Source organism: Homo sapiens, chromosome 2 (genome assembly GCF_000001405.40).
Source record: "Homo sapiens chromosome 2, GRCh38.p14 Primary Assembly".
In the NCBI taxonomy this organism is placed as follows: domain Eukaryota; kingdom Metazoa; phylum Chordata; class Mammalia; order Primates; family Hominidae; genus Homo; species Homo sapiens.
Window position 1 is genome coordinate 133,505,622 of NC_000002.12, and position 14,051 is coordinate 133,519,672.

Genomic DNA, 14,051 nt, shown 5'->3' on the forward strand with positions numbered 1-14,051 from the left:
GCTCAGAGAAGGCAGGTGACATGGCCAAACTCACACAGGCAGTAGGAGGCAGGTTGGGATTCAAATCCAGTTCAGCCTCATTCTCCAGCCAACTCATGCTCTCTCCACTGCATTACAGGGCATCTATTTCCACTGTGCCCTTTAAAATTAGTGCTTTGCACACAGCAAGTTCTTAATACAGCTTTCTTCCTGAGGCTGCCACTGCTACTTCTATATTTGATAGAAATTTTGGAGTTTAGCAGATAGGAGCTGCACCGCTCTCGTCATAACAATGTATTTCCTTTGCATAGGGTGCCACAGCCTCCAAAACAATTCCTTGTTCTTTATTTCACTTAATGACAACATCCCTCATCATAGTGTCCCACCATTGAAGACACAGATATTCAGAGAGTTTAAGAAATGTGCTAAAGGCCACACATCTACCAAACATTTCAACTCCAGCTCTAGTCTAAGGACTTACGCAGTTCTAATGCAGTGATCGATCCACTAGACCACCCTCCCTGCACCTCAGCATCACACAACTTTTATCAGGACTGTTGAAGAGAACACCATGTCACTGGTTACATGGAACTTGTGTTCTGAAGGTGCCACATCAAATTGTCTGGTGAAACCAAATTGACAAGTCCAAGGGAATAGACTGGAAAACAACACACAAAAATCTATTTCAAATAAAATATTAAAAATGGGCTAGTGTTTTCTCAGCCCAGAAATGTGAGAAGAGATGGTGGCAGAGTATATTATTTTATAGAGTCAATGTGCTGGATACACTCGTTTGGCCTCTCCAAATCTACCCTTCACCCTTCCCTGCCCTGGTCTGGGCCCAGAGCACTCTATGGGCCCCATTCCCTCTGGCTTCCAATTGGGTTCAGCCAGTGGAGGCACCAACAGGGGACAAGACAGTGTGAGGAGAATGAAGTGGGAGTGTTCACGTCCCGATCCCCTTGCTGCAGGGCCAGCACGGTTGGCCATATCCCTCCACCTAAGTGGCATTTCCCGCCAAATGGTTCACTCCTTATAGCCACATGGTTCTATAGCCACTTTCTAGGCCTAGTGGCAATGACTCCCCACTGTTTCTAGCTGCAGGAGGCTCCATTATTATCTTGTTGCACTTTCTATATCCTGCCACCCCTTTTAAAGAGGCCCTTTATTAAACTCTCCTCCAGTACCTGGCATGAGTGTGCAATGTGTCTCCTTCCCAGACTTTGATGCAGTAAACAATAAAACAATATTACTGATTTTGTCTTTGTAGACAAATGATGGGAAGTTACTCAAATCCTCTAAGAGGATGAGAAAGGCTAACTACTTTAGACCAGGCTCTCTCTTTCAGTCACTTCCTTCTCACCACACCTCACCAAACAGAAATTAGGTCAGATATCCTGCCTCAGGGACCTACCAAACTGGGCCCAGGAGATCTCCACATAGCTACCTACCACACCCACAGTCTAGCCCGGAGTCTACTCCGGGAGGAAGGCAGGACACCACTGGCCTCATCCCAGTCTGTCTAGTTGGTGCCTTCACAGATTTCACTCTCAGCGTTCACCAACCCAAGCTGGATCACTGCCAGCCTCATGGCCACTCCATCTCCAAAAACGGCAGGCCTCTGCAAACAGCTCCTCCTCACAGAAAGGGCAACAGCCCTTGAGCCTACTTATCTGCCGGCTCTGACAGATGGACCCCAGAATTCACCAAACCAAATGATTTTATTTCCCTCTACACATCTATGTGCATGAGAGCAGTCAACGAATTAATTGCATTAGGAAACCTACCAAGCTGAAAACAACTGCTTAAAACCAAGAACCAAAAAGGTGCGGAAAGACAGAAGGCAAGCAAACCTCAGGGGCATATTCGGAAATGGACAATTATGATCCATTAAGCCTGGTTAAGAAACTGAAATTTATGAGGAAGAAACATCTGGAACTGCCTGGCATGTAAAGAAACCAGGAGGAACCACTTTTTGGGCTTAGAGGGAGCAGGCCAGACAAATAGGATTCCATGTTAGGAGAGAATTGCAAAATTAGTGTATAAAAGGACAGAATGGAGGCAGTGCCTCTGGTGTTAACTGAAGCGTTTGAATATGATGGCTCCTGGATTTCCTTTTGAAATATTAATTGAAATTGGGCTGGAGATGAGGGCTGCATGAAAACTGGCAGAAAGATCATAAATACTGGTTAAAGTGAGCCAGAGGAATGGAACATGGCAATGCAACACGAAGTAATGAGAAATACTGCTCCATTCATGGCCATGAACCCTATGGATGTCTAATAAATATTAATTGATAAAAATGAACTATACTGCTGAGTGGTAAATTAGTGTAAGATACCTAGGCTGCTGAAATACAGCTAATATATATACAGTTTGTACAGCATACACCGATCAATGAATGAGAAGAAAAGATATGAAAATGATTTAGCTATGTGATGCATTTTGCCTTGCACCAGGAATTAGGGGTAAGAGAATGTTAATAGAGGAGTCAGGAGGGGTGGTCAGAGGGGGCAAGAGGAAAGTTAGGACAATAATTCAAGATTATAGTAGACCTTGCTTAGGGTCTTGGCAATTTCTCATGTATAAGCCAGGCACCCTGGAGTCACACCCCATTCTTTTAGACACTGTGGCTTTCTCAATAAATTTCTGCTTCAGGGAACTCAAGGACACCATAGATTAAATTTGGACCAATTTATTGGAGGAAGATATGACAGCCCTCCTCCTTGGGGAAGCCCTCGCTGATCAATGTAGCCAGAAGAACAACTTCCTCTTTGTAACCCCATCAGCCTTGTTGTTTGCACCACTGTATACCTCCTGGTATTCTGAATAGTGTATATGTGACAAGATTTTTTTTAAAGCTTTGCAAAGCAGAAATCATAGTTTACATTTCTTAGCACTCATTTCACTGTGTTTCAGACCAAGTAGGTACTCCATTCCTGTGCTGATCAATGAGAAACTCGAAAAAGAAGAGCAGGCTCTTATCAGAGAGAACACCCAGATGCCTGTTAGGTTTGGGACCAGCTTCTAAGGGGATCGATGAAAGCTCTACCTCCTGTTATGGACAAAGCACTAGAGAGTCTGCCATGGGAACGATCCTAGGCTGCCAGAGAATGATGCGGAAAACTCAGTTGCCATGGAAACTTGTATGATCTGATGATTCCCATTGTTGAAAGATGGTGAGACAACAGGAGAATGACAAACAGATCTTGGAGCCCTAAGAACACATGGAACATGCCAAGCAAACATCTCTACTCATTTGTACTTATTTCTGCTATAGAAGCAGTCTCATTTCATCATCTGTCAATAACATAGCATTTATAAAAGGCTTTCAAAATGTGTCCAGTTCCTGTTTTTATGTAGTGATCTCAGCGACAACAAGGATGCACAGAACTACCTCTGATGCTGGCAGACAACACTTATCACAGCAGCTGAATACAGCTGAATGAAACAGGTGTCACCCGAGCTCCTGCTCCATGACTCCAGCAAGGGAAGCCATCCATGGGCAGATGCTATGGTCAGCACTAATGGCACGTGAAGCTACCTAACAATTTTTGCATCACAGATTCCTGTGAGAATCTAATTATACCTACAGACTCACTCCCCAGAAAAATGTACAAATGCATATAACATAAAATATATCAAAGAATTCAAAGCCCTGGAAGTCTTTTCATAAATCTCCCCTATCAAGCACCTTGGGACTCAAGAGAATCCAGGACACCATATTAATAATCTCTGATGTAAAACAAACAAACAAAAAACTTTACACACACACACTAGAATCATCCTTGGGCAAACCTGAAGAGCAGCATGCCATTTCCTCTCTCCAACCTTCCCAAACAGCACCCTGGGCCTGCTGCATGTGGGCCCCCTTTATCCCATATTCAGCACCCCCATGACTGTGTATTTGGTTCATAAGCAGCTGCTCACTGCTAAGTTCACTCACTCATTCATTCATTTTACTGAGCTTTTTCTATGTGTCAGACTTTAGGAATACAATGTGAATATGACATGGCCCATGCCCTCAGGAAACCTACAGTCAGGGGTGATTTTTCTTCTCAGGGAACATAATGGCCATGTCTGGAGACAGTTTTCATTGTCACAATGAGGGAGGGGTGCTCCTGGCATCCAATGGGTAGAAGCCAGGTATCCCAATAAACGTCCTACAATACACAGGACAGCGCCCATGACAAAGAATGATCAGGTCCAAACTGTCGATAGTGTCGAGGCTGGGAAACCCTGTTCTAGAGCACACTGGCCTGTGGGAATGTGAAAAGGCCAGAAGTAGGTATTATGCCAGCTCAGGAAGGGGCGTGTTCATAAGAACTCCGGAACATGTGGCTTCGATGACAGCCTGCCTTCTTTTCAGAGATGAAAGGAAGGAGAGAAGGAAGCAAAGGAGCCATTCAGAGTGAGTAACAACCACAATGAAGGTGGATCCTCCTTCAGGCAGTGTCAGAGGAGGCAGGACCAATTGCAAGTGCTGGGCAGACAAATGGCATTTCTTCCAGAATCTCCTCAGGGGAAATGCTGCTGACCCTCTACTCACCTCCATCAGTCAGTGGCCCAGCAGAGGGAATGTGCAGCCATTTGATAGGACCATCACTCAAGTCATAAACCCCACTGCATGCTGGGGGACGGCTAGATGCTGGAGGTGCCCCATCGCTCACCAGGTTCTCCCTACTCTTCTCCCATTCTAGTCAATAACTCCACCTTGTACATGAACACGCCATAATCAGTTCTCATATGAATAAAAACACAAAATTGTATATATATGGGTATGTGTGTACACACACACATGCACGTACACACACACACTATTATAAATCGCAATCTCTTCTAAAGTTGGTTCCAAGGTCTGGTTCATCAGAAAATCACAAGATCAGAAAATAGACCTAGACCTACATTCTACATTCCTTATAAGTCTCCCCTTCCCACCTCCATTCCTTTGTCAATTGTTTTGCTGAAACCAAGTCTGGCTTCCCTCTGATCTAGACTGTTCTAAACTGCAGGCTCCTCAGTGGGCACAGATACAGCAGACGTGCTAATGCACATGGTCTAGTCCTGTTGAGGTAGCTGATGCTCTTTCACATTGTGAAGCACCGTGAAGGAGCTCCCAGTCACTGGCATAAAGCAATTTTCTGCTTCAGAGCTGTTAGCTGTGCAGATGCATTGTAGTCTGGGGATAGCCCCAGACCTAAAGTGAAATCCCAACTCTACCTCTTACCAGTTCCATTGCCTTGAGGAAGTTGATGAACTTGTTAAGCTTCAGATTTCTCATTTGTAAAATAGGGGTAATTAGAGTTCCTACCTTAAAGGGTTGTTGTTAAATATTAAATGGTAGTTTCCATATAAAGTATTGAGCAGCATGCCTAGCCTATATTAAGCCTCCATAAATTTCAGCTACTATTACTAAGGGAAGGAAGCCATCCTGGTTGAGACTTAATGCATGATTCACTAAGTGAACATGCTGAGCTGTCTGCTAAAGTGGCTTTGATGTTCGATTCTGCCATCCTCATTGCTGACATGCTCTATGTCCACTGCTTGGACCTAGTCTACTTCCGTCCTCCATTCAGACTGTCCCCAGCACCAGTGTTGCTGCAGATCTCCAATGGCCCTCCAAGACTTTTCGTGTTAGGATCTGATCTCTTCCCACTCTTTTGGGGCTCCCTCAAGACTTGCAGCAAGTAGCACCTGTGGGTGGTGCCCTCCTGGCCCAGCCTCCCCTGCCTCCTCCTAGCTCATCTGCTCCCAGCTCCATCCATGGGACCCGGAGATCTGCACTGTTGGAGAACAGGTGGGCAGGGCACCTCTCCTGCATTTCTGTACCTGCAGTGATGGGCTGAGCTCGGCTGGTGGACAGATTCACTGGGTAGATACTTGTCTAAGGGTCTGACACGTCTCTAACTCCACCTCCACCCACTCTCAAGAGGGCACAGTCAATATTTCAGCGTGACATTTTGGAAAGGTTGCTAAACCAGGCCAAAGCTAGTCTATTCCCCACCAGTTACTTTTCTCCTAAAAATGGCCTTCACTAGATCCTCAGATGTCACGCCATCTTCTGATACCTGGCTCAGGCCATGGTCTCTATTCTAAGTACATGTAAGAGACACAGAAATAATAGACAAGTTAGGGGAAATGAGGCAGTTGGAGGAAAAGAAAAACTCCCTCTTGTTCTTTGGCCCTCCCTGACTTGATGCTCATTTGGGAAATCTCAAAACCATCTTGATATCAGAGAACAAAGATCAGGCTTCCCAGAGGACAACTTGGCAGGTTCCCAGTGGCCAGGGGCACAGGGCAAACGGTACTTTATGTACTCTTCCATCAGTAGACATGGTCAAAGGGACTGAGATTAGACTAGCTGGAAACCTTCTATAGGAAGCTGGTGTTTTGGGCTCTGTGCAGTATCCCTATGGTAAGAGGAGGTCTAACAAGAGAACCATGAGAGTCAAGAAAGATCCAGTCATATCTGAAGCAGTACAGAATAAAGACTTTTGTTTTCTTAGTATTCATAACCCACTAGCTGTAGGCTGTACTGAGCAACACCAGCAATACCTCTATTTTGCATTTAGAAAAAGTATCCGCAAGGCTGAACATACTCTATGTCAATATTTTCTAAATATTTAGAAAAATGCCTTCTAAATATTTTTCTACTATTCTTCCTACTGGGGTATATGTACCTTTGATAACAGCCTAAACCTGTTCCTCTGCCTGCCCGCATATCACATATACTGAGGGTAAATACAAATCACTACTTAGAAAATCAGCACCCAGGAAACGTAAAACAGGACTTTCAAAATTCCCATTGCTCTAATGCATGCGGATAGCCATTACAATCCAGCCTAGTGCCTGTCTTTGTAATTAAAGTGTTTTTGTAAATAAAATAGCTACATTTGATCATGTGTCTTCAGAGGCAGCTCTCTTCCTACAACAAAGGTGAGCAGTTGTAACTACTCACGTGGCCTGCAGAGCCTGAAATATTTACTATCTGGAACTTTATAGAAAGAGTTTGCTGATTCCTGCTTCAGAATTACATCTAGTCACTAAATAGAGGGGAAATAACTGAAGATAAACAGCAGAGATTTAAATTCAATATGAGGAAGAAGTTTCCCTGGGAGAAAAAATTCAGTAATGACATGAATTGGCACCAAAGGATGCAGGACCAATATCCTTGGGTTGCCTCTTTTTTCTCTACTCTCAGTCTGCAGTTACCAAATTCCCTCTGACGCTTCAAACTACAGCTCCCCCATGGCCCCTCCATGTAGTTGCACAGCTCCAACTACCGCTTCCCCATGGCCCCTCCTCACATCTTCCCAGAGTGACCTCAGCATCTACTACTGTCAGTGCCACACAGTTCATTTCCATGTGATGATATTTTTCCTGCTTATTAGGACAGCTTCCCTAGATAAACTAGAAGCACTTGAGGAAGCCTATCCCCCTGTATCAGCCAGGGAGACCTTCCAGGAAAGAGATGGCACACTCAAAGCATCTAACTGAGGAGAGTTTGGTAAAGGGACTGTTTACTGAATTGTGGACAGAGCTAAGTCAAACCAACAAAAGATGGGCTAACAACAACCAAGAACCATTACTATGAAGAATCGTTAAGGTATGGGAAAAGAAAAGGTGCCAGAACATAGATAGAGCAGTGGTTCTAACTATAGCTGGAGTTCTGGGGAGAGGGTTGTCCAACAAAAGCTGCAACTTTAGGCAAAGGTGCCCAGTTCCTGTGGTCCATGACCAAGCAGGGTGAGAGTGGGAGAACAAACACCTCGACCTCTGATCTCCTGCTAGGAGACAAGTAGGACCTCTTTCTCCCATTGGCTAAACCCAACCAGATGCCAAAAGGCAAGTCCATGTGGTGCATCCTCCAGGGATGATTGGCCAGGTAGAGAAGGAAAAAGAGTGGATCTGGAGGGAAAATGGAAACCATCCAGCACATCCCCATAGCTGGTTTTCAATAGTGCTTGTTGACTGATTGTGTTATGAATGTTGTGGAAGTCTTGATTACTATAACGATTTGGATACAAACAGTCAAGAGGCTGAAGGTTGAATTCAGGGATGTGTGCACGTCCTTTTTTTCCTCTACAAGCTTATAAAACTATACTGCTGTCGGAACTGAGGATTTAGTGTGGCAGTGTGGCAAACGTTTTTTCTTCCTTTTGTGGGGGAGAAGAAAAGAGGGTACCAGGAAGAAATTCATACTGTTACTCTCATCTGTGCTTAAAAGCTAAATGTATTTCCCAAAAATTAAAAAGAGAATGTTTGTTACTTAAATGTGAGCTGGTAAGAAAGATAACTCATGCTCCAGCATGCTCATCAGCTAAATACTACCACAGCTACAAGTGTCAAACAGCTACATGGGCAGCCCGGGAATGAGTCTTGCAAATAAAAGAGCACAGTGTGAAATGATGACTTTTTCTGATCAAAAAGCACCCTGGGAAGGGCTGAACAGTTTTGGGTCAAGAAGAGGACTCGATTTCTGGGGTGATTTTTATCGTTATCAGAGAGTAGACTGTACTTGCCGTGAACGTATATACGGCTACTCCGCACACTCCTACTGGTGGAGGCAAACTTGTAGTCACTTGTCTTTCTCTCTGGGCCTTTAACCCCCACAATGAAACATATTTTTCATTTCAGTTTCACTTACGTATCACTTTCTCCTTTAAAAGGGTGAATAATAAAGTAAAAAAATCACCATCAATGAATATTTCAGTGTGTTACCAGGGCACACACACATGGACATGTATATGTGTGCACACACATACACTCAAACCCTCCCCCATGCCACGTGACTAAGGACCACAAACTTGTTTTCCCCAATTGGAGCTTTTTTCAGTTTTTGGACTGTGAGTTTCTTTATTCTGTGATTCCTCCAGTCTAAAAATGTAAAAGCCATTGTAAGGGAGCTATAATTTCTACTCAACACTTCAATGATTTGATTATATAAAATAAAAAGTGTAATGAAGTTAATAGCACCTTATTCTTGCAATACATTATGAGAATATTTTCCTGTAAAATCTGAAAGTGGAAATTACCTCTGGGCCCCCTAACTCTCAAAAATATGTGTCATGACGATTATTGCAATGGAATTTTAAGACTTAAGAACGTAATATGTTTCTCTTTCCTCTATTCAGTTTCCCACAAGGACATCTTCTGTTCCTGGGATAGTATATAATGAAAGATAAAGAACTTAAGTGACAGGTTGTTCTACTTTTGGTGTAATCCTAGCGTGTGAGCTCAGGAAGAGCAGATAACCTCTCTGGGCCTTAAGCAGTCTGCAAAGTGAGGAGACGAGATAACCGATTTTCACTTTAGCATTCTAGATTCAAAAAATAAAATAAAAAGCATGCATTGGGAATGAAAACTGTACTGTAATGCCAGGTTTGTTGTTCTTGTTGTTTTCTTGTATTTCACAGCAGCCCTTATCTAGAATCTTCCCTACCTGCTTCTTGCCTAGTAATTTGTGTGGCTTCAGCATAAAGCTGAAGAAGAGGGCAACATCTTGAGTTCAGATCCCTCACAGGCCAGGCATCTTTGATCTCATCCCTGGTCTAGCTTTCTTTCTGATACTTGGAATTCATTCAAGGTGCTTTCAATGGTTCCCATTCCCAAAGAATCAACTCAAAAAGAATACTCTAGCTGCTATTCTCCCAGAAGTAGCATCTTATTTGAAGAAGAGAACATAATACTATAACCGGGGGCAAAATTGTAGTAACTTGGCCTAAGTGCTATAATGTTGAAAAGCATTTAAGCACCCCCCTACACACTGTGATAGGAAAGGACATCCTTTTTCAGAATTTTCCCAATCTGGGCATGCAGATGTAACACAGTCTGCCTCTAGGAAACAAGGAAAAGATTTCACTAGTGTAAAAGCTCTCCTAAGCATGACACAGGGAGACTTAACAGGATTAAGTCTCTCAGGTGGTGCCAAACAAGTTCTCATTTTCACAGCGTTCTTCTATGCCAGCAAGTCAAGAAACATATTTGCAGCCCTCAACAAGTTTCAGGGTACAGCCATATGCCAGAAAGAATGCAAGCTCAATTTAGGGTTTTCAGCTAGACTGGTAATGTGACAGGATTTTACTTATGCCCATTTTCAAGCTATCTTTAGGCAAAATTTAAATATGAGCATTGACACTGTTTCCCTTTTTCCGATCTGCAAGTACCTACGATCCCCATTGGGGGTTACTCACGTCCCCCTGCCCTGTCTTGTCCTGCCCTATCCCTGCCTTCGCAGCTATCTGGGCTCTGCCTTCTTCTATTTTACCAATTCCCACAACAAAATTCTGCTCATCGGTTTGACATTTGGCAGTGATCCAAGGCCATTTATTAATGAGTGCTACTATGAATTATTGAAAGACAATAGCTTATTATGTTTAACTTTATAGGGTATTTGCATAAAACTTGAGATCTGAGGCAGAAATCTATGGCTTTGGGGACCAACCAATACCGATGATATTTCTGGGTTAAGAGAATCTTTCTTGAGCTGCTCACATCATACCCTACGGCTGTCTCTGTCCTTAGCCTAGGCCTAAGACAGACCCTATTGGCATGCTGATATGTAAAAAGTGTTTTTCTTCTGCAAAGGAGAGGCTGAGAAATTATCTCTTTATCCCAGGTTTCCCCAGAAGTTGAAAAGGGAATACACATACATATACACACAGAGACACACACACAGACACCCAGACACACTCACACACCAATGTCACCACGTTCAACCTGGAGTTAGCAAGACGTAGGAGGTGAGATGGGGTCAGATCTACGGAGAGGAGAACCTGAAATACACCAAAGTTGGCCTCTAAAGGTATGCTGGTCAATGCACAGACCAAATAGACACAGACATTGATTCTGACTAAGGAGAGAAGAACTTGACATAAATGCTTAACACAATCCTCTTCTCAAGTCCCAGAAACTCACATCTATGAATAATTTGTGAGGCAGAGCCTCAGCCGCTAAGAGGTAAATAACTAATCTGTCCGTGACAGAGCAAGACCTACAGCTGCAAAGTTTGAAAGGTATAACGGATAAATCAAACCAACAAATAGTTCATTGAACCCCCACTCTGCTAGACTCCAGGACAGGTGCTGAGCATATACAAGTGAATAAAGCACATCCCTATAAAATGTGCACAAGGAACCAAGCTAAATCTCTATTTCAGAAAGTTTGCTTTCTATTTCAAGTTTGCTTGATTTGATTCCTTGCTCTGTTCACACGCATTGCGTAACAGAAAAGGTGACCCACACATGTTGGCCCAGAGACTGCAGAAGAATAGCCAACCATCAGACTTAGTCTAAAGTGAATTAGTCTGTTTCACTGGACTAAGCAGATTTTCACACCGGATAGCAAACCCAACCAGGTTGTTAAGAATAATATTCATCAGCATTAAAACTCTCAGAAAGTTAGTTTACAGACAACTGAACTAATGCACATACCTAAGAAGGTCTCCAAGACTTCCTCTGCTCTTCAATATTTGAACCTGTATTGAATTCTTGTTCAACTTACCCCCAAGGTTAAGATAAATGGGGGATGGAACAACTATACGTAGGCTTAGCATTTGGCATCAGCTATACAGTAGTGTTTTTGTATAGGCTGAAGTCTACATCAGTTGTAATTAATGTAATTATATATAATGTTGACAGATTATGACATTTGCCTATTAAGACACTATACAAACATTCCAATAATTTGCTGGCTTTTGAGTTTGTAAAAAATAAATGAAACAAAATCTCAAGGGATGTTGCTAATGGTGTAACTGGAAGAGAGGTTTCAAAAGCACAGCGTTCAGGAAATAACAGTCAAAGAATAATGCATTCAAAGCCAAAACATATAGAGTGGTAAATGAATATTTAGTACTTACCACAAGACTGCTGTCTAGAGACAGCCTTTTTCCAAAGTCCCTTTTCTCAAGCTGTCTCTTTCCCTCCATGGATGAAGTTATTTATTTTCTTTTGTGACTTATAAGAATCCCCCGTCTGTTTCCAGGGTCACTGAAAAGAGTGAACATGTGTTTTACTATCCAAGTACACAGTGTTTAGACCTTTGTTTTTAACTCTCTAACCAGAAACAAGCATTGAAGTCAAAAAATACCCAGTCCCAAATAATAAGTATAGAACTAGGCTCTCTCTACTCAAAAGACCACTCCGTGTTACAAATGTCAGAGTTGTCTTTATGGCGGCCCCTGTGTTTTTATAGGTTTTGCTAATGGAGTTGGGGAATGGGTTTGCAGGTTGAATCAGCAGACTGTAGAAAAAAGCAAACAGTCCGTTTCATGCCACACTTGCTCCACACCCGTCCTCTCTCTATCAGCCAGAATAATTCTGTTACTGTGCACATAGATGCTGTCTGCAAATTCCATGAGATCAAACCGACAAAACCACGCTCTATAACCAAGAGTTATTGAGCTCAAGGCCCAATGAAGGGAAACTGAAACATGAACATTGTTTAATTTAAAAAATATGTAATTTAAAAATATTTGAGGAACATTGTAAGATACATTCCTTTGGGGATAGATTGATTCAAAATGAATGGTGGGTGATGTCATTACTGTCAATGAGTATTTATAGAACCCACTGTATTTTTACCATATTAGATATAGTTCATCCCTGAACTCCACTGAGATTGCTTTTTCTAGAATGATTAAGTATTCTGGTTAATAAGGATTCATCATATATGTTAAGTGCCAGCTTCCAATTTTCACAAAGATGTAAAAGGCTTGAAATAAAAGAAATGGGTTACAGTAAAGGATTTTTTTTTTTTTTTTTTTTTTTTTTTTGGGATGGAATCTCGCTCTGTCACCCAGGCTGGAGTACAGTGGCACGATCTCAGCTCACTGCAAGCTCCGCCTCCCTGGTTCACGCCATTCTCCTGCCTCAGCCTCCCGAGTAGCTGGGACTACAGGCGCCTGCCACCATGCCAGGCTGATTTTTTGTATTTTTAGTAGAGACAGGGTTTCACCGTGTTAGCCAGGATGGTCTCGATCTCCTGAGCTCATGATCTGCCTGCCTCGGCCTCCCAAAGTACTGGGATTACAGGCATGAGCCACCGCGCCTGGCCCAGTCCAGGATTTCTTATCCACTAGCCAAGTGACCTTGGACAAGTCATTTAACCTCTCAGAAACTCATTTTTCTCAACTACAAAACATGATGATAGCAATCAAATGATGTATGGGAATATGATTTGGATGCCATAAATTACAACTCATATGTAAGTTATAATTACCCACAGATTACATTTAAAAACAGTTAACCTGAAATATGAGTCAATATAATTCAATATATCCTTGATGATTCAGAAGGTGCTTTGAGATATAGAAATTGCTCATAATCCTTGTAAATAAACATAGACATTGTACTGCTGATGCAGAAGAGATGAAATACAATGCTATACCAATTAACTTTTTAATATAATTGGAAAGAAATATGTTCCACAACTCTCAATTGCTCCAAGCCTGACATGGATCAAACAGGCAGGATTTCATGGCCCACAGGATGTGGGCTGTCTCTCTTGGTTTTCCTCATCAAGAGGGTTGAGACAGTGGTGCCTGAGATGGGGAATGCCCAAACTATAGTCAATCATGAGAAACTGATGGGCTCATATTCCAGCTTAGGCTTCCTCCTCCATCTTAGTCATTTTATCTCTTACTTTCAAGAACACTAATTTTTAATACATCACTGGTCCACTCAGAAACTCTTAAGAGTTCAATCAGAATTTAGGATAAAATCCAAAGTTTTCAATATCATTTTCTAAAATTCTAGGCAGTATTTTTCAGAAAAGAAGTTAGTTCTGTATACTGCTATAGGCATGACCACTAGTCAACTGAAATTTGTTTGGGAGGCTGCCTTTTCTACTTTCAGCTGTTCCTGCCTACTTTGTAGCATTCTCCCTCTCCCCCAGTCTCAGTGACTGTAAACACTGGTAGTTCAGAACACCCTCTGCAGTGATGAACCAGCTAGAGACTACTCTGACCCTCATATTTCCCTCTCCACCAAAAACACACCCTCCTAAGTCTTGATCCCAAAGAGCATGGGAGTTTGATAGCTCATAATAGATTGTGCTTTGGCCTTTAGCACATA

At 42.5% G+C, this 14,051-nt stretch overlaps 1 protein-coding gene across 16 annotated transcripts in view; it reads right to left on the reverse strand.

Moving 5' to 3' along the window:
- NCKAP5 (NCK associated protein 5) overlaps positions 1-14,051 on the reverse strand; it is a 1,003,049-nt gene that overhangs the window by 833,834 nt on the left and 155,164 nt on the right. For 14 of the 16 annotated variants that reach the window (XM_017003975.3, XM_011511100.4, XM_047444134.1 and 11 more), the window contains one exon: positions 11,837-11,966. In XM_017003975.3, coding sequence (XP_016859464.1) covers positions 11,837-11,905 — 69 coding nt within the window. In that variant the 5' untranslated portion in view covers positions 11,906-11,966. Of the gene's footprint in view, positions 1-11,836; positions 11,967-14,051 lie in introns of those variants that run through there. The other 2 variants (XM_011511104.1, XM_047444128.1) reach the window with 2 other exon arrangements.